General features: G+C 42.3%; 1 long non-coding RNA gene across 1 annotated transcript in view, besides 4 other annotated features; it reads left to right on the forward strand.

Annotated features, from left to right (window-relative positions):
- The window catches only part of LINC01358 (long intergenic non-protein coding RNA 1358), a 67,772-nt gene that overhangs the window by 43,076 nt on the left and 1,215 nt on the right, over positions 1-23,481 (forward strand). The gene's annotated exons all lie outside the window — the stretch shown is intronic.
- Positions 12,992-13,535: an enhancer, noted in NCBI's record as "NANOG-H3K27ac-H3K4me1 hESC enhancer chr1:59542215-59542758 (GRCh37/hg19 assembly coordinates)". NCBI's record gives its function as "activates a minimal SCP1, AML or CMV promoter by ChIP-STARR-seq in primed H9 embryonic stem cells {active_cell/tissue: H9 hESC(primed)}" and the evidence as "EXISTENCE:reporter gene assay evidence [ECO:0000049][PMID:30033119]".
- Positions 14,080-14,623: an enhancer, noted in NCBI's record as "OCT4-NANOG-H3K27ac-H3K4me1 hESC enhancer chr1:59543303-59543846 (GRCh37/hg19 assembly coordinates)". NCBI's record gives its function as "activates a minimal SCP1, AML or CMV promoter by ChIP-STARR-seq in primed H9 embryonic stem cells {active_cell/tissue: H9 hESC(primed)}" and the evidence as "EXISTENCE:reporter gene assay evidence [ECO:0000049][PMID:30033119]".
- Positions 14,266-14,560: a silencer, noted in NCBI's record as "tiled region #331; HepG2 Repressive non-DNase unmatched - State 7:EnhWF, and K562 Repressive non-DNase unmatched - State 7:EnhWF". NCBI's record gives its function as "represses a minimal TATA promoter and a strong SV40 promoter by Sharpr-MPRA in HepG2 and K562 cells {active_cell/tissue: HepG2 | K562}" and the evidence as "EXISTENCE:reporter gene assay evidence [ECO:0000049][PMID:27701403]".
- Positions 14,624-15,165: an enhancer, noted in NCBI's record as "OCT4-NANOG-H3K27ac hESC enhancer chr1:59543847-59544388 (GRCh37/hg19 assembly coordinates)". NCBI's record gives its function as "activates a minimal SCP1, AML or CMV promoter by ChIP-STARR-seq in primed H9 embryonic stem cells {active_cell/tissue: H9 hESC(primed)}" and the evidence as "EXISTENCE:reporter gene assay evidence [ECO:0000049][PMID:30033119]".

Below are 23,481 nucleotides of genomic sequence, written 5' to 3' on the forward strand. Positions count from 1 at the left end.
CAAAAATGCATAGCAATTGCTCAGCTGGTGCTGAGGTCTCTGGGCTAGGAAGAGGAGTTCTGTGGAGCTGGAAGCCAGACCTCTTTGGAGGAAACTCCAGCAGCTATGTTGGTGTCTCTGAGGGAATGCAACAAGGCTGCTCCTCCATGTATTGGAAAACTGCAAACTGGACTCAACTGGAAGGAAGTGCTGCTGCCAGTGTGAAGAAGCCAGCCTGAGGTGACAGAAACGGAAGCAAACAGGAAGCAGCCAGTCTTTTCTTCCTCCTCCTGTCATACGGTCTCTCTCAAGCATCCTTTGTTGTCAGGGCCTAAAAGGGAGCTGCTGACAAAGAAGGAATTTGGTTTGTAGAGTCCCAGCCCAGTGTCTCAAAACAGAGTATGGGGGTGAAAGAATTTGTAACTGAAACTGAGAGATAATATCCTCATCACTTGTACGTGAAGCCATCCCCAATTCAAGTGACAGTAATTTGGAATATTCTTTAATTTCCTTTAATGCCCCATAATAATAATGTGTTGACATCTGTACATCTCAATACAGTTCTTTCAAGCCATTATCTTGTTTAATCTTGTGAGAATGACAAAAATCATTCTTTCCCCATTGAAGACAACAGTGCCCAAAAATGTCAATCACTTGCTGAAAGATGAACAATATACAAATGGTAGACTTGGGATTCAGTCTCTCTGATTTCAAGCCTGGGGTCTTTTTTACTATATCGTACTGTCTCCTCAAAATGTTTATCAAGAGCCCTATCCTTATTAGTAAATCCTCAATAAACTAGAAATGAATTCACGCAAACACCTTTACTTATGATCATTTAAATTCTCTTTGAGTGATAGAAATTTCTAGGATTCTCATTCATTCAACAAGTATTCAATGAGCACATTCTAGGCTATAAACTCCTAGGAGAAACCATTTTAAATAGGATAGGGTATATGCAGGAGCAGAGTCTGCATCTGGCCCTCTCACCTGCATGCTTGAAGTGGCAGAAGATAAAATCTCCCTCTCTCCTGTGTACCTTGGGCTAAGGATTCTTCTCTGGATAGCCAGGACCCAGTTGATCCTGAGCCCCCATTGCTAAAGAAATTCTCATTGTTCTTGGTTCCATTAGGTCACTCTTTGATGTCACAGGACATTTTCTAGGGAAAACATGCACCAAACTTTCCCCCTAGTAAGTGGGCAATGGCCCCACAGAAAGATTAAAGAGGAAAAAGCCCCTATTTGGAAAGCCCCAGGTGACTGGATTTCTGAGCCTGTATTTTCATTCTCCCTTCCTTAGCTCTGTGAAGATCCCTTTCTGAAGTAACCATAACCTCTAAATCCCCATAGAAGAATACAACACAAAGAGCTCTGGTCCTCCACTTAATATGCCCAAGCTTGCCACCTTGTCATCTACCACACTGGGGTGTTGCAGTGACTTTGAGCTAGAGAAGAAACTTTAACTCCTTCCAGAAAACATACTGGAGGCACACTGGGCAGGGACAGCTGAAGGCCGTAAACTTTTGTATGGGTCCTCATATTCTTAAGTACTTTGCACCATTAACAATAGTTCTCTTGGGAGGTAGAGTTACCAGGGTGCTTCCGCATTCTGTGTTTTTATATTTCTGTATTGTTTGATGGTTTAACGACCTATGATATGTGTAATTTAATAAATGTGTGTATAAGCATATATTTAAACCCTTTGGAGCTGTTATTGTTACTAAGAGAGTATGTGATACACGGAGACCAGGAGTGGGAGGGAGCTTTTGAAATCATATATAGGCCCTACTACTCCAACTGTATAGCAGCATTAGCTTCACCTGGGATTCTGTTAGAAATGCAGAATCTCAGGACAACCCTGGACCTACTGAATCAGAATCTGCATTTTAACAGATGCTCAGGTGACTTATATACATATTAGCAGTTGAAAAGCCCTCATGTCATCGAGCCAAATTCTGGATTTCACTGTGAAGGAAACAAGAGGGGTAGAGGGAATCACTTGCCAAAAGTTCACACAGCCTATCAGCACCAGAAGTAGGACTCCAGTTCCCATCTTTAGAATCCCAATAATCATGACTTCAGGCTGCCTCTCCATTTTTCTGTACTTTATAAGAAAATATCTTCTAAGTCTCAGGGTAACATGGAAGGTGAGTCTTAGTCCTTTAATACAGCTCAATACTGCTAGGTAAGTTAAGGCACTGGCAGGCTGGGAACTGGGCTCACCAGCCCTGGATTAGGCCCTGAATCATATTCTCATAGTGTTTGAGAGAAAGCTCAAAGTGGATTTAGGAACAAGTGAGGGTGAAAAAACAGGTAAAGCTAGTGATGTCAGGGCGTCTCTGGAAATTCAGGGAGGGGCAGAGGAAAGGTTTGGGAATCCCTTACGTATCGCTTGGCATTTATACAGGTGGCAGATGAGTCAAATGGTGGCTGGTGTGTTATGGAGAAGGGAATTGCCTATAATTGAGTTGCGAGTGCTCGTACAAATGCTAAGCAGGCCAGCTGTTTACAGAGTTTGAATTCTGCTCTCTCACGCAGATGGAATCATCCCAGCTTGTTGGCATGTCTGGGGTATATAGTGTTGCCCCCTCCTCTTGATCTGAAAACATGCTCAGATTGGGGTATGTCTGATTCAAGAAAGGGCTGAGTTCAGCATCAATCAGCAAAGGGGCCAGAACATAAGAGGGCTCCCCAGGGCCCCAGAGCTGGAGTTGAGTCTTTGCCTGAGACGTTGGGAGATACCAAGGCCAAAGGTGCAGGCTGAGTGAAAAATACACAGTAAAGGCAAAGTACTAAGCATCAGAAGTTCTGCCTGAAAATTAGCTCACAGGGCAGGGAATGTGCACCAGGGAGAAGCAGCCAGTAGGCAAGAATGATGTGGTTAATAGCTAAGAGGTGGGTTATGGAGAAAAGTGCAATTCTGGCTTCACCAGCCTCTGGCTATGTGACCTTGGGTGAGTGACTTCTTTCAAAGGCATCACACATCCAATTAATGGATAATTATCTCAAGGTAATGTCATATCTTTTTGTTTAATGAAACACTGACTCTTGTAAAAAGTCGAATGTAAAGTCACTCCCTCTTTTCTGAAGCACAGTTTTGTTTTTTTTTAAAGGGGGAAAAAACAAAAACAAATGTTGCCTTTTATTCAGACACACAGATGAACTTACTCAAGGTTTTAGTTAATAAGTGATAGAGTGGGATTCAACACAGTCTCACATCAGAGTCCAAATTCAAGCACAAAGCTGTGGTGTGCATCATCATCAGGACTAAGTTTAGGCATCACCTGCCCAGGCCTTCCCTGAGCAGCCCAGGCCCTCCCTGAGCAGCGCATCCCCTTCCCCATGCGTATGTATGGCCCCTGTGAGCAGCCCTGCTCTGCCTTCCCCAGGGCTGTGGGCTTCCCTCTGTAAGGGAGGAAAAATGCCTTTTCCTCACCATCCTGGGTTCAGGACTGAAGCTCCTCTAACAAAAGACGGATTACGAGAGAAAAACATACTCATTTATTTAATGTGATTTATATATATTTATCAATATATTTAACATTTTATGTGACATGGCAGCCTTCATAAGGAAATGAGGACCCAAAGAAACAGTTAAATCTGAATATTTTTATGCTAGGTTTGATGAAGTATAGACAGCCATAGAGAAATATGATAAGGCAAAAATGGTATGATCTAATGGGAATAAATTGAGGAAACTTATCAAGGCTGGTTGTTCAGATTCTTCTCTGTATCCCTGTGTCTTCAGAAATCAAAATGTTCCCTTCCTCCACGTATAAGGAAGGCACCTCTCACAGGGAAGTCTTATGATTTGCTTAAGGGAAGGCCAAAAATTCTTTCCTAGGTTTTAAGACCCACTTCAGGGGAGAAGAGCACAGGAAAGTCAGAGTCCCCTTCCTGCCTTTGCTGTTTTCTTCAGTATGCCCAGGTGCCATATTTTGGGGGTAGTGTGTCCTGAATCCCATCACCTGACAGAACTTAGCACACTGAGTTGTAAATTGCATAGGTGATCCTTCGAGTGTCAACTGTGTCAACTGAGCTGTAACCACAGCACTTAATGCTGCAGCTGACACATAATAAATGCTCAAAAATATCTATTGATTAGCTATATACCTTCAGGATTTGAAAAGTTTACTATGCCAGATAAGGTGGATTGGCAGTCAAAATACATCTTATCTTCTTTCTAGTATGTATCCCCAATGTGAAATCTAGAGAGAAATAAGATATGTCCTAGACTCTCTCACAGCTAAGCCAGCTAAGCAATGGGTGAGAACTAGGCTTGGCCAGTCAGATGCAGGAGCACAAATTCTGGAATGGAGGAGTGAGGGGACACACTTCTGCTGCCTCTACTGCATCTGTGGCCAACATAGTTGTGAGAGTGATTGGTTTTTCTGCAGCCCCATCAGTGGAGGGCCCAGTGCTGGGTCACTTGCTTTGTGGGGACCAGGAGGCAAGGCACTGAACATCCATTCTGTTGGTACAGACTGTATCATACATAACATAGCTCTTCCAGGTTAGGGCAGTGCTGAGGTAGTTTTGTAACCAAAGCTTCCATTTCACAGGAGGTCCAAGGAAAAAAATAGAAGATCCCTGTATTGCCCAGGGCTTTGGAATGATTTATAAAAGCTCAATTCTACAAGTTATTTTAATACTAATATATTTTAATTAGGACATTGTGTTGGCTGACTTACCAAGATAAATAATGGACACTTAAACAAAGTAAAAGTTTTTTTTCTCTCTCACATAAAATTATAAGCTGGTAGGCAGTCCAGGGGAATATAGTAGCTCTATCTCCCAAAGATATTCAATGACTTAGTTTTCTTCTTTCTTGGTGTCCTATTAACCTCTAGAGTGTTTCCCACCTGAAGCTTTTTCCCATCACCAGATCCCATCATCCAGTATGTGGGAAGTAGGGGAGTAGAAATGGAAGGCAAGCAGCCTCCTTTTAAGGAAATGACTTAACACTTATGTGTTACTTTTACACACATCCCCATTGCCATAATTTATCCACAGGACCATATCTATCAGCCAGTGGATTGGCAAATGTAATTGCAATGTAGGCAGCCACATAAATGCCCAGCTAAAACGTGGAAGGGGATAAAGTCCTAGTCTTGAAAGGAAGGAAATGGATATTGGTGAATAATAGTCTCCTGCATAGTTGACCAAAAAAAAAAAAAAATTCTGTCCACCTTAAACTAGCTAGAAGAATTAAATATACTTACTCTCTGCAACTGAAAACTGTTACAGTTACTTAAACTGATATCAAGAGGGGCTTTCACCTTGTGTTGGGATAGAATTAAGCAGTAGATGTGGAGCCCACTTTGTATCCTAAAAGTCTCATTAGCAAAATGAAAAGTAACATAGAATTAAAATGTGGCTTTTGAGAAACATATAATGCAGTTGAAAAATCTAAGTTAACACACAAGAATGGCCTTGCAAAAAAAAAACAAATAAAAAAACTGAGTGTTACACCTGAAGGTGAGGTGAACAAAGAAGTCTTAGCCTGACATGTAAGTAGTGTTGATAGAAAATAAAGATTTCAGGTCATGGGATACTGCATAACCAATTCTATTTTCGAAGAGGGTGACAGAAAATATAGGCAGCTCCTTGTTACAAGTAAAATTTAGCTGAGAGGCAGGTGCTAATATTTGTCAGGTGCTTATATTTCCAAACACAGTTCAGTAGTCCCCCCTTATTTGCAGTTTTGCTTTTGGCAGTTTCAGTTGTGGTCCAAAATATTACATGGAAAATTATATAAATAGACAATTCCTAAGTTTTAAATTGTGTGCCATTCTGTGTAGCATGATGAAATCTCACATAGTCCCACCTGGGTCTTGAATCATCCCTTTGTCCAATGTATCCACACTGTATATACTTCCTGCCTGTTAGCGACTTAGTAGCCATCTCAGTTATCAGATCAACTGTTACATTATATCACAGTGCTTGTGTTCAAGTAACCCTTATTTTTCTTAATAATGGCATCAAAGTGCAAGAGTAGTGATGCTGGAATATTGTTATAATTTATTTTATTACTAGCTATTACTGTTAATTTCTTACTGTACCTAATTTATAAATTAAACTTTATCATTGATATATGTGTATAGGAAAAACTCTAATATATAGAAAGTTCAGTAATATCTATGGTTTCAGGCAGCCACTGAGGATCTTAGAATGTATTTCCCAAGGATAAGGGGGGACTACTGTCCTACATATTCACTTAAATTTGTATTTTTCCATTAGCATCTGTGAATATGAATACCTCAATACACCCTCCAGCACCCAATAAAGAAGGCATTATTATTACCATTATAGTTGAGGAAGCTGAAACAATGAGAATAAGCAAAGCAACTTTCCCAGGGTTATCTGGGTCATGTAAGTGGTAGGGCTGGGTTTCACACCCAGGCAATCTGTAGCCTATGCTCTTCAGCACTTCTATATATGTTTTCCATGCTTACCTGTGACTACAGTTTCCCTGTTTTGTCCCCTAAGACAACCACTACCAGCTCCAGATAGAAGACTTGAAAATGCACCAAAGAATCTGGACAGTCTGTAGGTGACGTTGTATATGACTAGTTACTATGAATAAAAAAGCAACAAGACTTCATCAACGCTTATTCTTTTCTTTTCTTTTCTTTTTTTTTTTTTGAGACTGAGTTTCGCTCTTGTCACCCCAGCTGGAGTACAATGGTGCGATTACAGCTCACTGCAACCTCCACCTCCCGGGTTCAAGCGATTCCCCTGCCTCAGCCTCCGGAAGTACCTGGGATTACAGGTGCCCGCCACCACGCCCAGCTAATTTTTTGTATTTTTAGTTGAGATAGGGTTTCACTATGTTGGCCAGGCTGGTCTTGAACTCCTGATCTCAGGTGATCCACCCGCCTTGGCCTCCCAAAATGCTGGGATTACAGGCGTGAGCCACCACGCCCAGCCCATCAATGCTTATTCTTTGCCCATTACTATACAAGGCCTATAAGATGTGGTCCCTGCCCTTGAAGAACTTAAATATTCCCTAAAAGTAATATGAGGTACACAACCATTAATCTGGGGGCTAGATAAAAACCTACAAATTCCTTAACAAATAATTAAGGAGTAATGACTCTACACCAGACCCATGGTTTTATGAGACAAAAAAACTGACAGGATTTCTGCCTTCCTAAGGCTCAAAGTGCAATGGCTGAGATAGATATTTAGTAGTTACAAATAAAACACACAAGTGCATTAAATTGTATGTAAATATTTACAGTGTGCAGTAAGAAAAATGGCAGGGGAGTGTTTGCTTAGACTTTTAGATGATGCAATAAAATAGATAAAAATAGATATTTCAAAGCTCAAAAGTTAGAGAAGGGAAAACCCTACATTGCATCAATAAAGGTCCAGCCAAGAGGCAGAAATATCAGAGAATGGAAAAGGTATGTTTAGTCTCAGCTTTGAAAAATGAAGAGGAATTAGACTGAGAATTGGGGAAGAAGATTTTGTACCAAGGGAGCAGCAAGTCTAGAGTCCCTCAGGTGGCACAGAGCTCTGTGAATTTAAAGAACTCCATGAGGGCTGCTGTAGCCAGGATATAGCGATTGAGGGAAAGAGTGGTTTAGGCAAGGCTGGAGACATTGGAAACCAAACAAGGTCTTGCAAACCGATCAAGGAGTTTAAGTAGCTGCAAGTGCAGTAGGAATCCATTGTAGGTTTAGAAAGAGAAATGATTTACGATTAAGACAATCACTCTGGTTGCAGTAGGCATGGTTTATAGATTTAAGACTGAAATAAGGAAAACCAATTAAAAGCTTTTGCAGTACTCCAGGTCTTTGGATGCTAAATTTCAGATACTTTTCACAAACCACAACGTGTACTTCGAGATGCTGCAGCTAGAACACTGCAAACCACATTTCAGCTTGACTAGCTAGTTACCTGCTGAGCTCAGCCCATGGGGGCCACAGCAGGAGGCTGCACACCCGGAGGAGAGAAAGAAGCGATTGTTCCTTTCTGTTTGCTTCCTCCTTTCTGTTTACTTCCCGTTCCTATGTTCATAAGCAATGTCTCTTCACCATGGCAGCAGCAGTTGTTTCAGGAGCAATGGTTAAATCCAATTTGCAGTTTTTCTAACACTCACAGAAACAGCCTCATTGTGCCCCCTCAGTGACACTAACCAATCTGAGCCCCCTCCTCAGAGATCTGGGTCCCAGACCAATGAGACTTGTCCTTCAAACTCAGAAACACTATCATCAGCCGGGCAGTGTCCCTTCTCAGAATCTGAGTTTCATCTCTGCAGGGCCTTCTCTCCCATATTTCTAAGTTTTAATAATGCCAACCTCTTTCTTTGGTTGTCCCAGTCCCAGAGGCAGCCGCTTCCTGTAATTGTTGGCTCCATGATACCTTAGCATTCTCTTTTTGCCATTTTGGTTGTTGAGTTCCCAGGCAGCAATTCTCTATATTATATTCTCCATGTTAAAATAACTGGTATGGTTTCTCTCTCGGCTGGACCTTTACTGATGTAATGTAGGATTTTCCCTTCTCTAACTTTTGAGTTTTGAAATATCTATTTTTATTGTATCATCTAAACGTCTAACCAAATAAAAGGGCAGACCCAGCCATGGAATAAGTATAAGCTTTGTAATCAGAAAAACAGCAGAGCTACTTACTGGAAGTATGACTGTGGGTCTGACCCTTAACCTTTATAAGTCTTAGTTTCTGCATCTATAGAATAGGTGCAGTAAACCTCTACTTCAAATGGTCATTGTGATGGACTGGCACAGGCCAGGCACATATTAGGTAAACAATTTGTGGCAGCTATTATTATTAAAGTATCTCTCATAGAAAGTGTTTTATTTTAGATAATTTATTCAACAAATATTTTAGAACATGCCCTGTAAGTGTTTTCTTCCTGTTCTCTCCTGCCCCCCTGCAGGTGCCTCTGACTCATGACTTCCTCTCTCATAAGTGTTCCTCGAAGTTTCCTCCCTACACGTTTACTTGCCTCCATGTCGTCTCTCCAAAACCAGAATCTTCACAGGGTCAGGAAGAAAGCACTCAACACAATATCCAACATTTTGTATAGATCCAATCATCATTTGTTGACTAACCTCTGCTTGCTAACTGTTCACTACGGCTTTGTCTGGCTTCATACATCCTCTGAATGCCTTGGCCTCCCTTGGGATACCTCATGATGGGGCCAAAGCATCAGGACAAAAGAGCAGAGCAGAAAACATGCAAAGAAGACACTTCCCACCACACTCCACGGCTTCCTATTCTCAAGGCCAGTGGCACTTCAGCAAGCTGCTTCCCTTTAACTCTGTCCAGCTGGAGCCCTCTTCTCAGCCGCCCAGGGCTGGTAGCGAAGGCCCATTCGCAGTTGATTAAGGAGTAATTAGCAAGCCCAGTCAGGATCATTAGCATTTCTATGTTCCCACTTGTAAATAATAACTGGTTTGAGTGAGGTGATTAAAAAAAAAAGAACAGCTGGTGGGAGATTTTAGAAATTTACCTACAGGTCCAGCTGAAGTGCCCACTGGGAACCCTTGGGAGCCTCAGTAGTCCAAACACCAGACAGATGCCCTCTCCCTGCCCCAAAACTATCCTTAGAGGGAACAATTGCAGGGACATCTACACCCTCCCTATAGCACGAAAGTACAAATGTCTCCTCTCCTAGTAAGAGAGGGCATGGTCATAATAGAGAGGGGAAAAAAAAAAAAGAAAAGAAAAGAAAAGAAAGAAAAAACCCAGATTTTGGAGTTAGGCAGACATGACTTGAAAACTCAGCTTCTACACTTACTAGTTTGGTGACCTTGGGCAAGTATCAGCTTCTTTATCAGAAACATACTCTTTGTCCTTATGGATGGAGTCTTTCTTTCTTTCTTTTTTGTAAACAAATCAAGACGGTATTCAACAGTAAACAGATGAGTAGTTTGTTCAAGGAAAAGACAGGAGAGATGAGCAGGTGGAGCCCATGGAATCTTTAGGGCAGTAACACAGTAATCTATATGATACTGTAATGGCCAATACACAACATCATGCATTTGTCAAAACCCATAGAATATATCCAAAAGAGAGTAAATCATTTTACCAAAAAGACACATGTATGTTTATCACAGCACTATTCACAATAGCAAAGATATAGAATCAACCCAGGTACCTACCAATGGTGAATTGGATAAAGAAAATATGGTACATGTATACCATGGAATACCACACAGTCACCAGAAAAAAGAATGAAATAATGTCCTTTGCAGCAATATGGATGTAGCTGGAGGCCATTATCCTAAGTGAATTAACACTGGAACAGAAAACCAAATATCGCATGTTCTCACTTATAAGTGGGAGCTAAATATTGGGTCCTCATAAAGAAGGCAACAATGAGGCTGGGCACGGTGGCTCACGCCTGTAATCCCAGCACTTTGGGAGGCCGAGGCAGGGGGATCACGAGGTCAGGAGATCGAGACCATCCTGGCTAACACGGTGAAACCCCGTATCCACTAAAAATACAAAAAATTAGCCGGGCGTGGTGGCGGGCACCTGTAGTCCCAGCTGGGAGGCTGAGACGGGAGAATGGCGTGAACCTGGGAGGCGGAGCTTGCAATGAGCCGAGATCGCGCCACTGCACTCGAGCTTGGGCGACAGAGCGAGACTCTGTCTAAAAAAAAAAAAAGAAGAAAAAAGAAGGCAACAATGGACACTGAGGACTACTAAAGAGGGGAGGCATGGAGCGGGGCAAGGACTCAATGTCTATTGAATCCTATGCTCACACCTGGGTGACGGGATCATATGTATCCCAAACCTCAGCATTATGCAATATACTCATTAAATATACCTGCTCAAGTACCCCCTGCATCTAAAATAAAAGTTGAAATATTTTTTTTAAAACAGAGAACAGATTGTGTAAGTCATTGTAGTTGAGGAAGAAAATATATTTATTTCAATTAAGAGATCTAGCCTTAAATTTTGCCTTTGCCAGTTGGCAGCCTTGTGACTTTGGACAAGTTAAATAACCCCCCTGAGCCTCAGCTTTCTCATTTGTAAAATTTAATTAGAAATACCCTCAATTATCTACTTTCACGGGGTTCTTACAAGCGTTAAGTTTTATAATGTACCTTAAATTTTAATAAATTGTAAAATTTACACCTCAAGAAAACCCACAAAAAGCCATAGGATGTACATCACAAAGAGTGAGCCTCAGTGTAAACTATGGACTTGACTTAGTAATAATGTAATATTGGTTCATCCATTGTAACAAACGTAGTACACTAATGCAAGATGTTTGTAATAGGGAAAACTAGGTGAAGGTAGAGAAGAGTATACAGGAACTTTGTACTTTCTGTTCAATTCCGCTGTACACCTAAACCAGTCTAGAAAAAAATCAAGTCTACTAGTGATTCTTTTTTTCAAGGAATACTTGACTATTCCTTACCCCAAATAGCCTAGCCCAATGCCTTTCAAACTTTAACGTACATGTTAGTCACCTGTACTGCAGGTGACTTTGTAGGTCTAGAGTGGTGCCTGAGATTCTTTCTGCCTTTCTAACAAGGAACGCCGCTGATCCATAACAACACTTGGAGCAGCAAGTCTCAAGACTGAAGCAGTAATTGTCTAAGTAAAGCGACTGGAAATGATGGGTACTCCACAAAGTGGGACACTTGCTAATAGGATTCCCTTCCCTACCATTGTTCAGTAACCTTAGGATCAAAAGAGGCCCTAACACTGGGCTCTGCGATTAGCTAAATGAATACCCCAAACGTCAGGGACTTTGCACTTAAAAGACAACTGGATCCATTTAGGAATAATTCCCAGATAAGACTCAAGTCACAGACAGTTGTGGTGGCTCATGCCTATAATCTCAGCACTTTGGGAGGCCGAGGTGGGTGGATCACAAGATCAGGAGTTCAAGACCAGCCTGACCAACATGGTGAAACCCCTGTCTCTATTAAACATACAAAAATTAGCCAGGCATGGTGGTGCTCACCTGTAATTCCAGCTACTCCAAAGGCTGAGGCAGGAGAATCGCTTGAGCCCAGGAGGCGGAGGTTGCAGAGAGCTGAGATCCTGCCCCTGCACTCCAGCCTGAGCGACACAGCAAGACCCCGTCTCAAAAACAAAACAAAACAAAACAAAAAACAAAAGATACAGGTCACCCAGTTAAATTTGAATTTCAGATAAGCAACAATAATATTTTAGTATATGTCCCACATAAGCATGTTCCCCCAGGAACCAATTCACTTAACCAAGAGAATGCCTCTCTTTGGTCACTTTCTTGTCCTCCCCTTCTTCAGGAGCAAGTGACCAGTAATGTCCGTGTGAATGGAAATACTGAGCAAGTATAGGAAATGCTGCTATTCATTTCTATCAAATTACTATTAACATGGTGTACCTGACTTCATAGTTTACAAAACACTTTTACATCTTTTAGTCTAGTGTTTGTCAAACTTTGACATGTATGCAGATCACCTGGGGGATCATGTTAAAAATGCAGATTTGGGCTCAGCAGTTCTGAGGGTTCACATCTCTAACAAGCTCCAGGGAGTCTGATATTGCTGTTCTGTGGCTCATATTTTGAACAGCAAAGGTTTAGATATTCCCAGATGATAGATAGTCTGTATCACCCCCATTTTATAGTTAAAGAAACTAAGGCTTAGATTACATAGACATTCTCAGGTATACGCAGAGATGGAGGAGGAAGGGGCGTGGAGCGAAAGCAAAACTCACCAAGATGTATGTCAGGCTCTACCATATATCTGCCTCTGCAGAGGAGAGAAACCCTGGGTCTGCATCCCTTTTCAGTCCTTTGCAGGCTGCGTGATCTTGGAATAATTATTTGGCCTCTCTGAATCTCTGTTATCTCAAAAGTAAAGAGGTAGGGTACACCTCTCAGAGGCTTCCATGAGAGGCTAATGAGATCTGTGAAATGTTTATATTCTGTAACAGGATACAAGCAGTAATAATTGTTTTATTATTATTATTAAATCCTGAATACAGCCCTTTAGAAGGTTGTTCTAAGTAGTTTACATGTATTCACTACTCCTCACAACACCCTTGAAAACTAGGTACTATTGCTATCATCTGCCTTTTACAGTAAACTGAGTCATATAGAGGTTACATGAACTGGCCAAGGTTACAGAACTAGTAGGAGCAAGATATGGACTCTGGCAGTCTGCTTTAAAGCCTATGCTCTTAATCTCTAGCTATGTTACTTCTCTCTGGGAATTATCCCCATCTCTCCCCCTGCTGGTTTTATAGATAAGGAAAATGTGGTTCAGAGAATATGATTTTTCATATTCTCTGTCATATATATTCTCTGTCAGTCATATAGCAAGACTGTAAATGTGATGAGAGCTCAGGCCACAGACAAGTACCTACTGAGTGCCATGCAGTGCTGAGGGGGAGGTACCTACTGTGTGCCATGCAGCACTGAGGGGGAGGTATCTACTGTGTGCCATGCAGCACTGAGGGGAAGAGGAAGCCTGGATCTACAGAATGAGCGAGGAGAGATGGGCTGGGCAAGGGGAGAGGGGCCACGACTCAATTTGGCAACTTTAGTATAACCTTCTTTGTCAGGTAACCCTACTGATGCTTTGGGAAAGGTAACCAGTGACTTCCGAATAACTATGAAGCTCTGAACCTGCTTTCAGGAGGTGAGGGTGGCAGGACATCAGACTCTAGGAAGGAGTGACTGAACTGAACAGATGAGCTGCTCAGCCTGGTCAGCTGGTGTTTGCAGGGTGATCTAGGAAAGAGTTCCTGACTCCAACCATGCTAAGAGCAGTGGACTCAGACTCAAACTTGTGTTTGAGTCTTAACTCTCCCTTTTATTACTAAATGACCCTGGGCCTGTGACTTGACCTCTCTGTGCCTTGGTTTCCTCATCTGTAAAATAGGGATAACAATTGCACCTATTCCAGAGTTGTTGGAGGATACATGCGATCACTCATTTTTATTATTGTGAAATAAGAGATCTCAGGAAAGCATTTACCACGGTGCCTCAAGTAAGCTCTCAATCAACAAAGACTGTGGGTCAGAAGGATAAAGGAAATACATTTCTGTAGTAATGGAGCGGTGGGAGGAAAAGACCAACTGGCTGAAGCCATTAAAACTCACCGTCAGTAAAAGTGATTTGCCTACTCAAATCTTAGAGTTGGGAAACTGCCATTTCCCTAACAAGACGATGCAAATCAGTTTATTTGCCTGTGGGGACTGCATTTCTTTCTTCTTCTCCTTCCCCAAAGACATCTGTTGTAGGAGAAGAAATCTCAAGTATGCTGAGTAACTGCTTTGTGTCAGGTCCTGTATGGAGATCTTTCTTTTATACCCATCTAACACCTTTTCCAGGATGTAAATTCTACTAACTCCATTTTATAGAGGAGGAACCAAGTCTCAAGAGAGGTTGAGAGCTACATCCAACATCCTAAGCTCTGGAGTGATACATCCTGGATTCAGATCCACTTCTGTTGAGCCAACATCAAGACTGGTGGGCTCCTTCCAAGGAGTCAAAGCTCTCCCTGGGCCCAGCCGGTACTCACCAAGGCTTCTGCGATGATACCTCTAGGTGCCAGACAGTCTTGAAAGCACTTCATCTATGGGCACTCAGTCATTTTCCCACAGGCTAGGTGGTTACGTTTTATTAGCCCCACTTCACCCCTGAGAGGAGGCAATTGAGTTAATTATTTGAGCTGAGAGCCCCTTGGTGGTATCAGCTGAGATAACTATCTCAGCTCCTGGCTGCCAGCCCTAACCAGAGCTTTTGTTCGTTATCTTCCCTCAGAGAAACTCAGCACTCAATTGCTCATTAACATGATTTGGATAATTTTCTCAACAGCCCTCCAGTGGAGCAGCTAAAGGAGAAACTGTAAAAGCCTGTGCCATTCAGATTGCCCCCACCCCCAACCTTGCTCTTTCTTTCTTAAGTAGTGGAGAAAGACAGATCTGCATTTGAATTCTGGCTAGGACATTCACTTGCTGGGTGATCCTTATTATTTCCTCTCCCTAGGCTCCCCATTCCTCATTTGTAAAATGAGAATATAAATACCACTTGCTTCATGAGTTGTTTCAAGGACTAAACCAGAAGGAAGTTAGCAAGAGGGAGGGAGGTTGGTTGGTTTATGGAGTGCCTAATGGGGAACAGAAAATGCATGGACAATATTATTTGATCATCACAATGATCCTATGAAATTAAGAAAAGGAAACTGAGTGACAGAGCGATTTACTCAAAATTTTACAGCTAGCAATTATATGTAAGGGCAATGATTCAAACGCAGTCTGGGTGACAAAAAAGCCTAACCTATCACTCTCATTTGCTCTTCTTCAATGTTCCTTATTCAATTTTTTGGTTCTTTATTCTCTTTCATTCTTTCTCATTCACTCTTATTTGCTCCCTTTCTTTCATTCTTAGTCTTTCCTATTTCCCTATATAACCAGCTAGAAAAAAGGAAAGATAAAAGATTGGACAAAGATATAGCAGTCCGGGTAGTAGATGAGAGGTCTGAGCCCTGGTCGTTTGTGTAGACTCTGAGACTGAGAGAGAGACAATTAGAGATTGGGTGGGTTAGGAAAGCAAAGAGAGTCTTTCCTGTATGGATTTACATTCCGAGGGTCAAGGCCAAACATAAGGTGAATATTTAACCCCTGCAACAACTCCTGTAAGTAAAAAAGAAAACTCCCATCTTTTTCTTCTATCTCAACTTCATAGGTGAGGCTCAAATCTCACCTAGAGCCTGAGTTCAAAGCTCTGGCTCTGCCACTTTAGCAGTGAGACTTTGGACAAAGCCCTCCACATCCCCTGAGTCTCAGTTTCCTCCTCTGGGCATGGTAGAAACATCCCTGCCCCCAGGATTTAGGTGAGTACTAAACTAGATCAGGCAGGTGCAATGCTCAGCGCCCTGCTTGGCACCCAACAAGTGCTTGGCAGTATTAGTCTTTTCTGCCCTCATTAACCCAATGACTAACTTATAACCCTGCTTTCCTCAAAACTCTTCTCCAACATAAAGGTCTTTTGTAAATGTGAACTTTTCCCTTTCTGCAGACTTCCCATGGTGATCTGGCCCCTTTAACTACAGAGATGTCAAGGAATCTTTGTGAATCAGCCATCAAGTGTGGGTTGCTTGACGTGACTGTGGGGTTAACTTACAAGTGACTAATTTTTGGAGGCGAGATTTTGTACCCTTCCCACTGGTAGCACCATGGCTGGGTGTAATTACTTAGCTGATGAGTTTACTGAGGGGCTCCTTAAAGTTTCAGTATTAATATCCATATGAATACTTTCAACAAAACCTTTTGTTCTTGGAGTAGGGGATGTGGGAGGTAGTTACAGGAACTGTCTTGCTTTTCCAAATTTAATTGTCTAAATACAGTGCTGCCTCAGCAATCCAGGACATTTTTCTCACTCTTCTTTCTTAACAGACCTCTGCCAAAAGCCTACTTTGGCAACAGGAATGATTAGTTTGTGTTTCAGTAAACTTGCTGCATCAGAGTCACTATCCCAGCAGGGGCAGGGGGAGTTGAAATGTGCTCTATTTAACCAGTTTGAACTGTTATTTATTCGAATTGAGTCTGGGGCAGAGGTTGTGGGAGTTTTTGATAAGAGGAACTTAATGGCTCATAAGCAAGTCATCTCTCTTTTAGCAGATACTTTGGACTACACATGAATGTCCTAATCACAGTCTCCCTAAAGGTAGATCAGCCCCCTTTCCAGAGTCTGCTGAATTACTCACATTGTTCAGAGCGCTCAGCATTCTGCAAAGCTTTGTTAAATTAATCTTCACAACAACACCCAGGCGGAAGAAGTATCATTAGCACTCTCATTTTGCAGGGGGGAAACTAAGTCTCAGAGAAATTAAGGAATTTGCCTAAGTTTGCATCGAAATAAAGTGGGAGCATCAGCATCTTACCCAGGTTTGTCTGATTTCAGAGCCTGCGCTCATACTCCTCTGGTATTTGCAGCAGTTTTGGGGCTTCTGGCACACCACTCTGAGGCTTGCACAGGACCATGGATTTTATAACTGGAGGGGACCTGTAGGTAGGGCGACCAACCGTCCTGTTTGCCTAGGAATGATGGGGTTCCTGTGACGTGAGACTTTCAGTTTTCAGGACCAGTCAAACTAGGATGAGTTGGTCACCCTATGGGATGAAAGGCTGCTGAAACTACCAAAAGAGATAAAAAGTGAAAAAGCTTCTAGACTAATATGAGGTATTCTTATTACCTTTCCCCCTCTAAATTTGCAGATGAGAAAACTGAGGCTCAGAGAGGAAAAGTGACTTACCCAAGGTCACACATTTCATGAGTAGATGGAGCAGTAATTGGAAAACAGATCTTGGGATTCTCAAATCATTTCTCTTTTCCAATAAGGGAGGCTGCAGAGTTCAAGCCAAGGAGCACCTATTGAGCTCCTACTGCATGAGCAGTTAAGCTGTGGGTTAGCAAATACCCAGGAGAAATAGGAGGTGTCCAGGTAATGCTGTCAAGTAGAACTTTCCATGATGATGAAAATGTCCAATATCAATGCTGTCCAACACACTAGTCACTAGCCATATGCAGCTTCTGAGTACTGAAATGTGACTACAGTAACAGATAAACTGAAGTGTTCTATTTAATTTTAATTTAAATCATCATGCATGACAAGTCGCTACCACATTGCAAAGCACTGGTCAAATGGATATGATTAGTATTTCAGAAGCATTTTATTTCAGAGAACAGATTCTGTAGTGTGCACATTCTTGAAGAGGAAATGCTTTTTTTTGGAAGGGAAGATGGGGCAGAAAAGAAGTACCATTCATGGATGGCATACTGACATACTGAATAGCAGCACTGAAGTTAACATTGCTCCCTTACTCTTCCAACAAGCTTGTGCAATGGGCATCATCTTTCCTAGTTTATGAGTGAGGAAAGTGAAACCCACAGGAATTCAGTAAACTGCCCAAGGTCTTATTTGTAGAATGGGAATTTGAACCCGGGCCTGAATCTAAATCAGGTCCTCTATCCCATGCATTACCAACTTGAATGTACATATGAAACATCTGCAGATCTTGTTGAAGTTCTGATTCTAGAGGACTGTGACTGGTGATTCTTCCTTTATAACAAGCTCCCAGGTGATGCGAAGTCTGTGGCTCATGGGCCACACATTAGCCAGAAAAATTCTCTCTCTTTTAATAAACCAAAACTTCCTCCCTTCCTTAACAATCAAGAAACACCAGATACCTACAGAAAGGAGGATAAATTACAAGTTGTAAAGTAATGATTAAAGTTCTGAGAAAGAAAGTGTGCCCTTGTTGACTTGAAAGAGGGCACCTTCCCCATTGGGCAGTGGAGTGGCTCTTCACCAGGCGAGGTTCACCTGCCATCCAGTCACATCTCAGTTTCATCAGATAATGCAAAATCAGCCAGGAAAGGGTTTTTAATCCAAAGGGTGGGGTAGTCTAAAGAACATGTGCTTTGGAATGAGGCTGGTTTGGGGAAGAATCCCAGTTCTTCCCCTCTCCAGTGATATGACTGTGTATGAATCATCCATCCCTCTGAGCCTCCATTTTCACCCCGGGGAAAATGAGGATGAGCATTTGTAATTCATGGAGATGTATTAATAGTAAAGACCAAGAGAAATCCTATGTGTAAAGTGCTTGACAGAGCGCACACTTAATAAATGAGTGTCTCCTCTGCCCCTCTTTTTCCCTGGCCCTCTCGCTCGTTCCCACCCTTCCTGTTTTTCTCACCTCTTTTAGGAAATCTTCTCCAAGGGCAACTCTGAGTGGTGAAGACAGGATGGAGTCAGTTGACTCTAGACCTTGTCCCAGTCTACTACTTTCTACTATGACCTCCAGCAGGGCTGGGAGCTACACAGGCCAGGGACTTTGTTTTCTTCCCCGTCTTTCCTCAGGGCCCATCACAGAAATGCCTTTAGGCCCTCTTCACCACCTCACATCTGCATCTCAACTCCAGGTGGGAAACACAGAAAAGAGAAAGAGAGAGTGTGTGTGTATGCGAGAGCACTAGTCTCATCACTAAATTGTCGGTGCTGAAATCCAAATAACTTTAATTTTAAAAATTAATTATGTGATCTCTTTGACAGGCAGCAGAGTTCATATCAAGGGCCCATGTTTTAACTGAATATAATGAATTTTTTTTTTCACCTTGGAAGAGTCTTAGAGGCAAGATTAGAATGTTCATCTAAAAGGAGTGCAAATTTCTTCAACCATTCCCACGGAGGAAGGTGAGCTCAGACTCACTTTCATCTGTCCCTCTCCCCCATGTGCTTGGCCAGGGTAAGGGACCTCAGGAGGGCCCCCCCAGTCTCCCAGACAGCTGACTCTCCCTGTGTAAATAATTCTAATGCTCTCAGTTATTCACTACTCATCTGAGCCACCTATTGAACTATAAGCTTCAGAATTAGCTTTGTACAACCCACACCCAGCACAGGGTCTGGCATTTATATGTGTTCATAAATGCAACAAATAAACATTTATTAAAATGCATTGATTTGTTCAGTTTTGTTTATACCTCTGTGGTGGATTGCAATATTGATTCCAATTCTACAACCCACCCACTGCCATCTTTTCCACAGCTAAGCCCCCTCCACGCTTCTACCATCCACACACATGCACTTTCTGATGCTGTAGGTTTCGGGTGAGACCAGAAGAACCTCAATTATTAAAAAAAGAGCTTTAAAAATGCCCCATTTTTTTTTTCTCTTTTAGCTTCCCCCCAAATACCCCACCCTCCTTTTTTTTTTCTAAATTTGAGACAAGGTCTCACTCTGTTGCCTAGGCTGGAGTGCAGTGGCACAATTTCAGATCACTGTAACCTCCACCTCCCAGGCTCCAATGATCCTGAGTCAAGCAATCCTCCCACCTCAGCCTCCCAAGTAGCTGGAGCTACAGGTGCACACCACGGCACCCGGCTAATTTTTGTATTTTTTTTTTTTTTTTGTAGAGATGGAGTCTCACTACATTACCCAGGCTGGTCTCGAACTCCTGAACTTGAGCTATCCTCCTGCCTTGGGCTCCCAAGGCGCTAGGATTACAGGTGTGAGCCACTGTGCCCAGTAGTTTTCACCTTTAAATTTTAAAGGTTACTTTTGCAGGCCTCAGGCATGACGGACAATGAGCAGGTGAAAAACCAATAGAAAAGTGTTCAAAAACTCCTGTGTTAACTAACAGGCTTCTGAATGTATCACTGTGGTCCACAGAGAAGGCTAGAGAAAGTAGCAAGAAGATGCTATGTCAACTACTACAGCCTTAAAACAAAGGTGGTGTCTATGTAGCTGAAATTTTTCCTATGTAGCTTGTGTTATTTTTGTTTAATCAAGCAAATAAGAGGGTTTTTCCATGGCAAACAAACAAACTCCAATGCATACCTTCTTTTCTTCTTTTTAACAATGAATAAAAAAAGGAAAGAAGGTACAGTTCTAAATTGACCCAATTTATTTTTCTTTTCTAAATGAGATTAAGATAAAAGTTGGAGAGAGGCCACTCAGATATGCTCAGAAATGATAGCTCAGCTTCTAACGGTTACTCAGCTTACATCTGATTAAGGTTTTCTGTAAAACGAAATTGTTCCTCATACCAGGCCGACTGGACCTGGACAGCTCTAGTCTGGGTCCTGGCCTCACAGTGCTGGGTCTCTCCGGGGCCCAGGCTAGGGACTGGAGATCCTGAGCTCCTGTCATTTCCCTCCCCTCCTTCCTTCCTTCCTTCCTTCTCCCCTGGCAAAGACTGTATCCTGTTGCTCTGAGCAAGGCCCAAGAGAAAGGCCAGCAACAGGTTATTGTGCTGGGAAGGAAGACAAATGAGTCCCTTTTCTGTGGGGCTCCTGGCATCCTGTTGGAGGAAGGAAAGGACAATGCTTTGAGGGAACTGGCTTTGCCGACCCCCTCCTGGCAGGCTCTCCCCTCTCCTTTCCGGTGTACCGTTTGTCAGCCCCAAAGCCTCCACTTCCTGAGTAATCACTAGATGCACGTGTGAGGTATGTGGTTCCCCCCCATGCCCAAGGCAGATTCCTGGCCCCACTTCAGGAAGTGCAGCTCAAAGAGCCCTGGACCAGGACCCTGAAACAAGGGAGAGTCTTGGCTCCTCTCTCTCTACCAGGGTAGCTATTGCCAGATCATTTCACATCTTAGGGCCTCTGTTATGGCAATTGTGTAAGTGCCTTCTGCACACTTGAAACTGCCCCCTGCATCAGGGATTCCCACACCTGCCTGTGCATCTGAGTCACCTGGGGAGCTCTGTTGCCCTACACTCTTCATATGCCCTGCCTGGACTCCAGGCAAAACAAGCAGACACTCCATCCCCAGAAATGTTCTGTGGTAATTCCAGTTCCCCTGAAATTAAAAACAAAAAACAAACAAACAAAAAAACTACCCTTCGTATCCTCTTACCTAGCTCTTTCCTATCCCCCTTCAATAAAGTGGTGGATTGATAGGTACACAGATACAAGAAGCAGTAAGGAGTAGTGGCTAGGAGAGTGAATTTCAGAGACAGACTTCCAGCAATCAAAGCCCAGATCCACCACTAGATATGTAAGCTTGGGTAGAACTTCGAACCGTTAGGTGCTTGCTTTTACTTATCTGTAAAATGGTAATAATAATAATATTACTTTCTAGGACTGTTGTAGGTTTAGGCTAATATGTTCAAAGCCTTTAATATAGAATTTAGCTGATCGAGGATACTATATAATGGTTAACTATTATTATTATTATCCCAGAGGTTCATTGAACATACAATGAATTTTTTTTTTCTGGACCTAATATCAAGCCAAGCACTGGCGACTTAGGAATGAATATGACACATTTCCTGCCCTCAAGAAGTTTTCAAGTCAGTAGGGAAGTCAGACTTATGAAGAACCAATTCTAACAAAATATTGTTACAGGATGGATCTCCCTAGGAAGCAGGCTCAGAAGGTGTTTAGCACTCAGGATGTTCTCAGGGAATGCCTTGAGATGAACACTTGTGGAAGAGGGAAAGGCCACAATCAGGACTGGCAGAGCGAGAAGGCAAAGCATGATGCAGGCTCTAAAACTATCTTGGCCAACCCCACCAACAGCTCTGGAACTAAAATGACCCTTCAGAGTTGTCAAAAGTGAAGCCAAGAAAGCCAGAGCTCTTTATACTCCTGTATCAATCAGTCACTGGATGTAGGTTGCTACAGGAAGGAGTGTGACTTGGGATCAGCCATCTCTTCCCTAAAGGTTGACAGTACCTCAGGAACTAGAGTAACAAGTTCTTGATTGAAAAGGGATCTGGAGCCAGATGCAGTGGCTCACGTTTGTAATCTTAGCACTTTGGGAGGCTGAGTTGAGCGGATTGCCTAAGCCCAGGAGTTCGAGACCAGCCTTGCCAACACGGTGAAACCCTGTCCTATCAAAAATTACAAAAATTATCTGGGCATGGTGGCACTTGCCTGTAATTCCAGCTACCTGGGAGGCTGAGGCAGGAGAATCACTTGAAACCAGGAGGTAGAAGTTGCAGTGAGCCAAGATCGCACCGCTGCACTCTAGCCTGGGTGACAGAGTGAGACCCTGTCTCAAAAAAAAAAAAAAAAAAAAGAAAGAGAGAGAGAGGAAGGAAGGAAGGAAAGAAGGAAGGAAGGAGATATGGGAGATGCATCCCAGTGTCCACCTCAAATCTATAAGGTCAATTTTGATGAAACAACAAAAAGTACAGAGAAGAAGATGAGTAGCTAATAATATATATTTAAAACCCTGATATTTCTATGGCATTTTATATTTTTCAAAGCATTCTCTTAGACAAAAGCTTACTCATGACTTCCAGTCTAGGGTCTTGAGGTAGGTTGGGAAGCCATATGTTGTAAAGGAGAAAGCTTTGGATTTGGAGCAGAGAGGACACCGTGAATTGCAGCTCTGCCGCTGTCTAGCAAGGAGTCTTATGCATGCCTCTCATGTTTTCTAGGTCTACTCTGTGAAAAGGAAATGATCATACATAATTCATGCATTTGCTGTACGGATTTAATTAAATGATAGACAAAAAGTAGAGTGGCACAAGTCAAACTCAAAAAATAGTAACAACAAAATCAATTTCAAAATAAGCAACAGCAATAAATGTTACCTACTATTTTACGAATGAAAATACTGAGACCAATAAAGGTAAGATACTTTCTTAAGAACTCACAGTCAAATGTAGGTACATCCAAGACTGTAACTCACATACTGAGATCAGTTTCATGTGACCTCATAGCTTGTCATCTTACCTATAGAACCCACAGAAGTTGATGAACCTCTGAGGGATTGATTCAGGTGTTTTGTATGTGATTAACATTGGAAGGAATCTTAGAGATCATCTTGTCGCCTTCAGAAATCCGGAGCTTCATGCGGCCCAGTCTTTGCATTGACTAGAATATAAAGAAGCATAACCCAGTAGTAATTAGAAACAAATTCTCATTTTCTCTTATGTCCTTTGAAAACTTTAAGAAAGATCAATTCCCAAAAAACATGTCTCAAGAAATCTTTCCTTCCTTACTAATTTATTGAATTTGACTGTTGTTGCAGGACCACATCCTCAGCAAACACACTGGCACTCTTT

Source organism: Homo sapiens, chromosome 1 (assembly GCF_000001405.40).
Source record: "Homo sapiens chromosome 1, GRCh38.p14 Primary Assembly".
In the NCBI taxonomy this organism is placed as follows: Eukaryota; Metazoa; Chordata; class Mammalia; order Primates; family Hominidae; genus Homo; species Homo sapiens.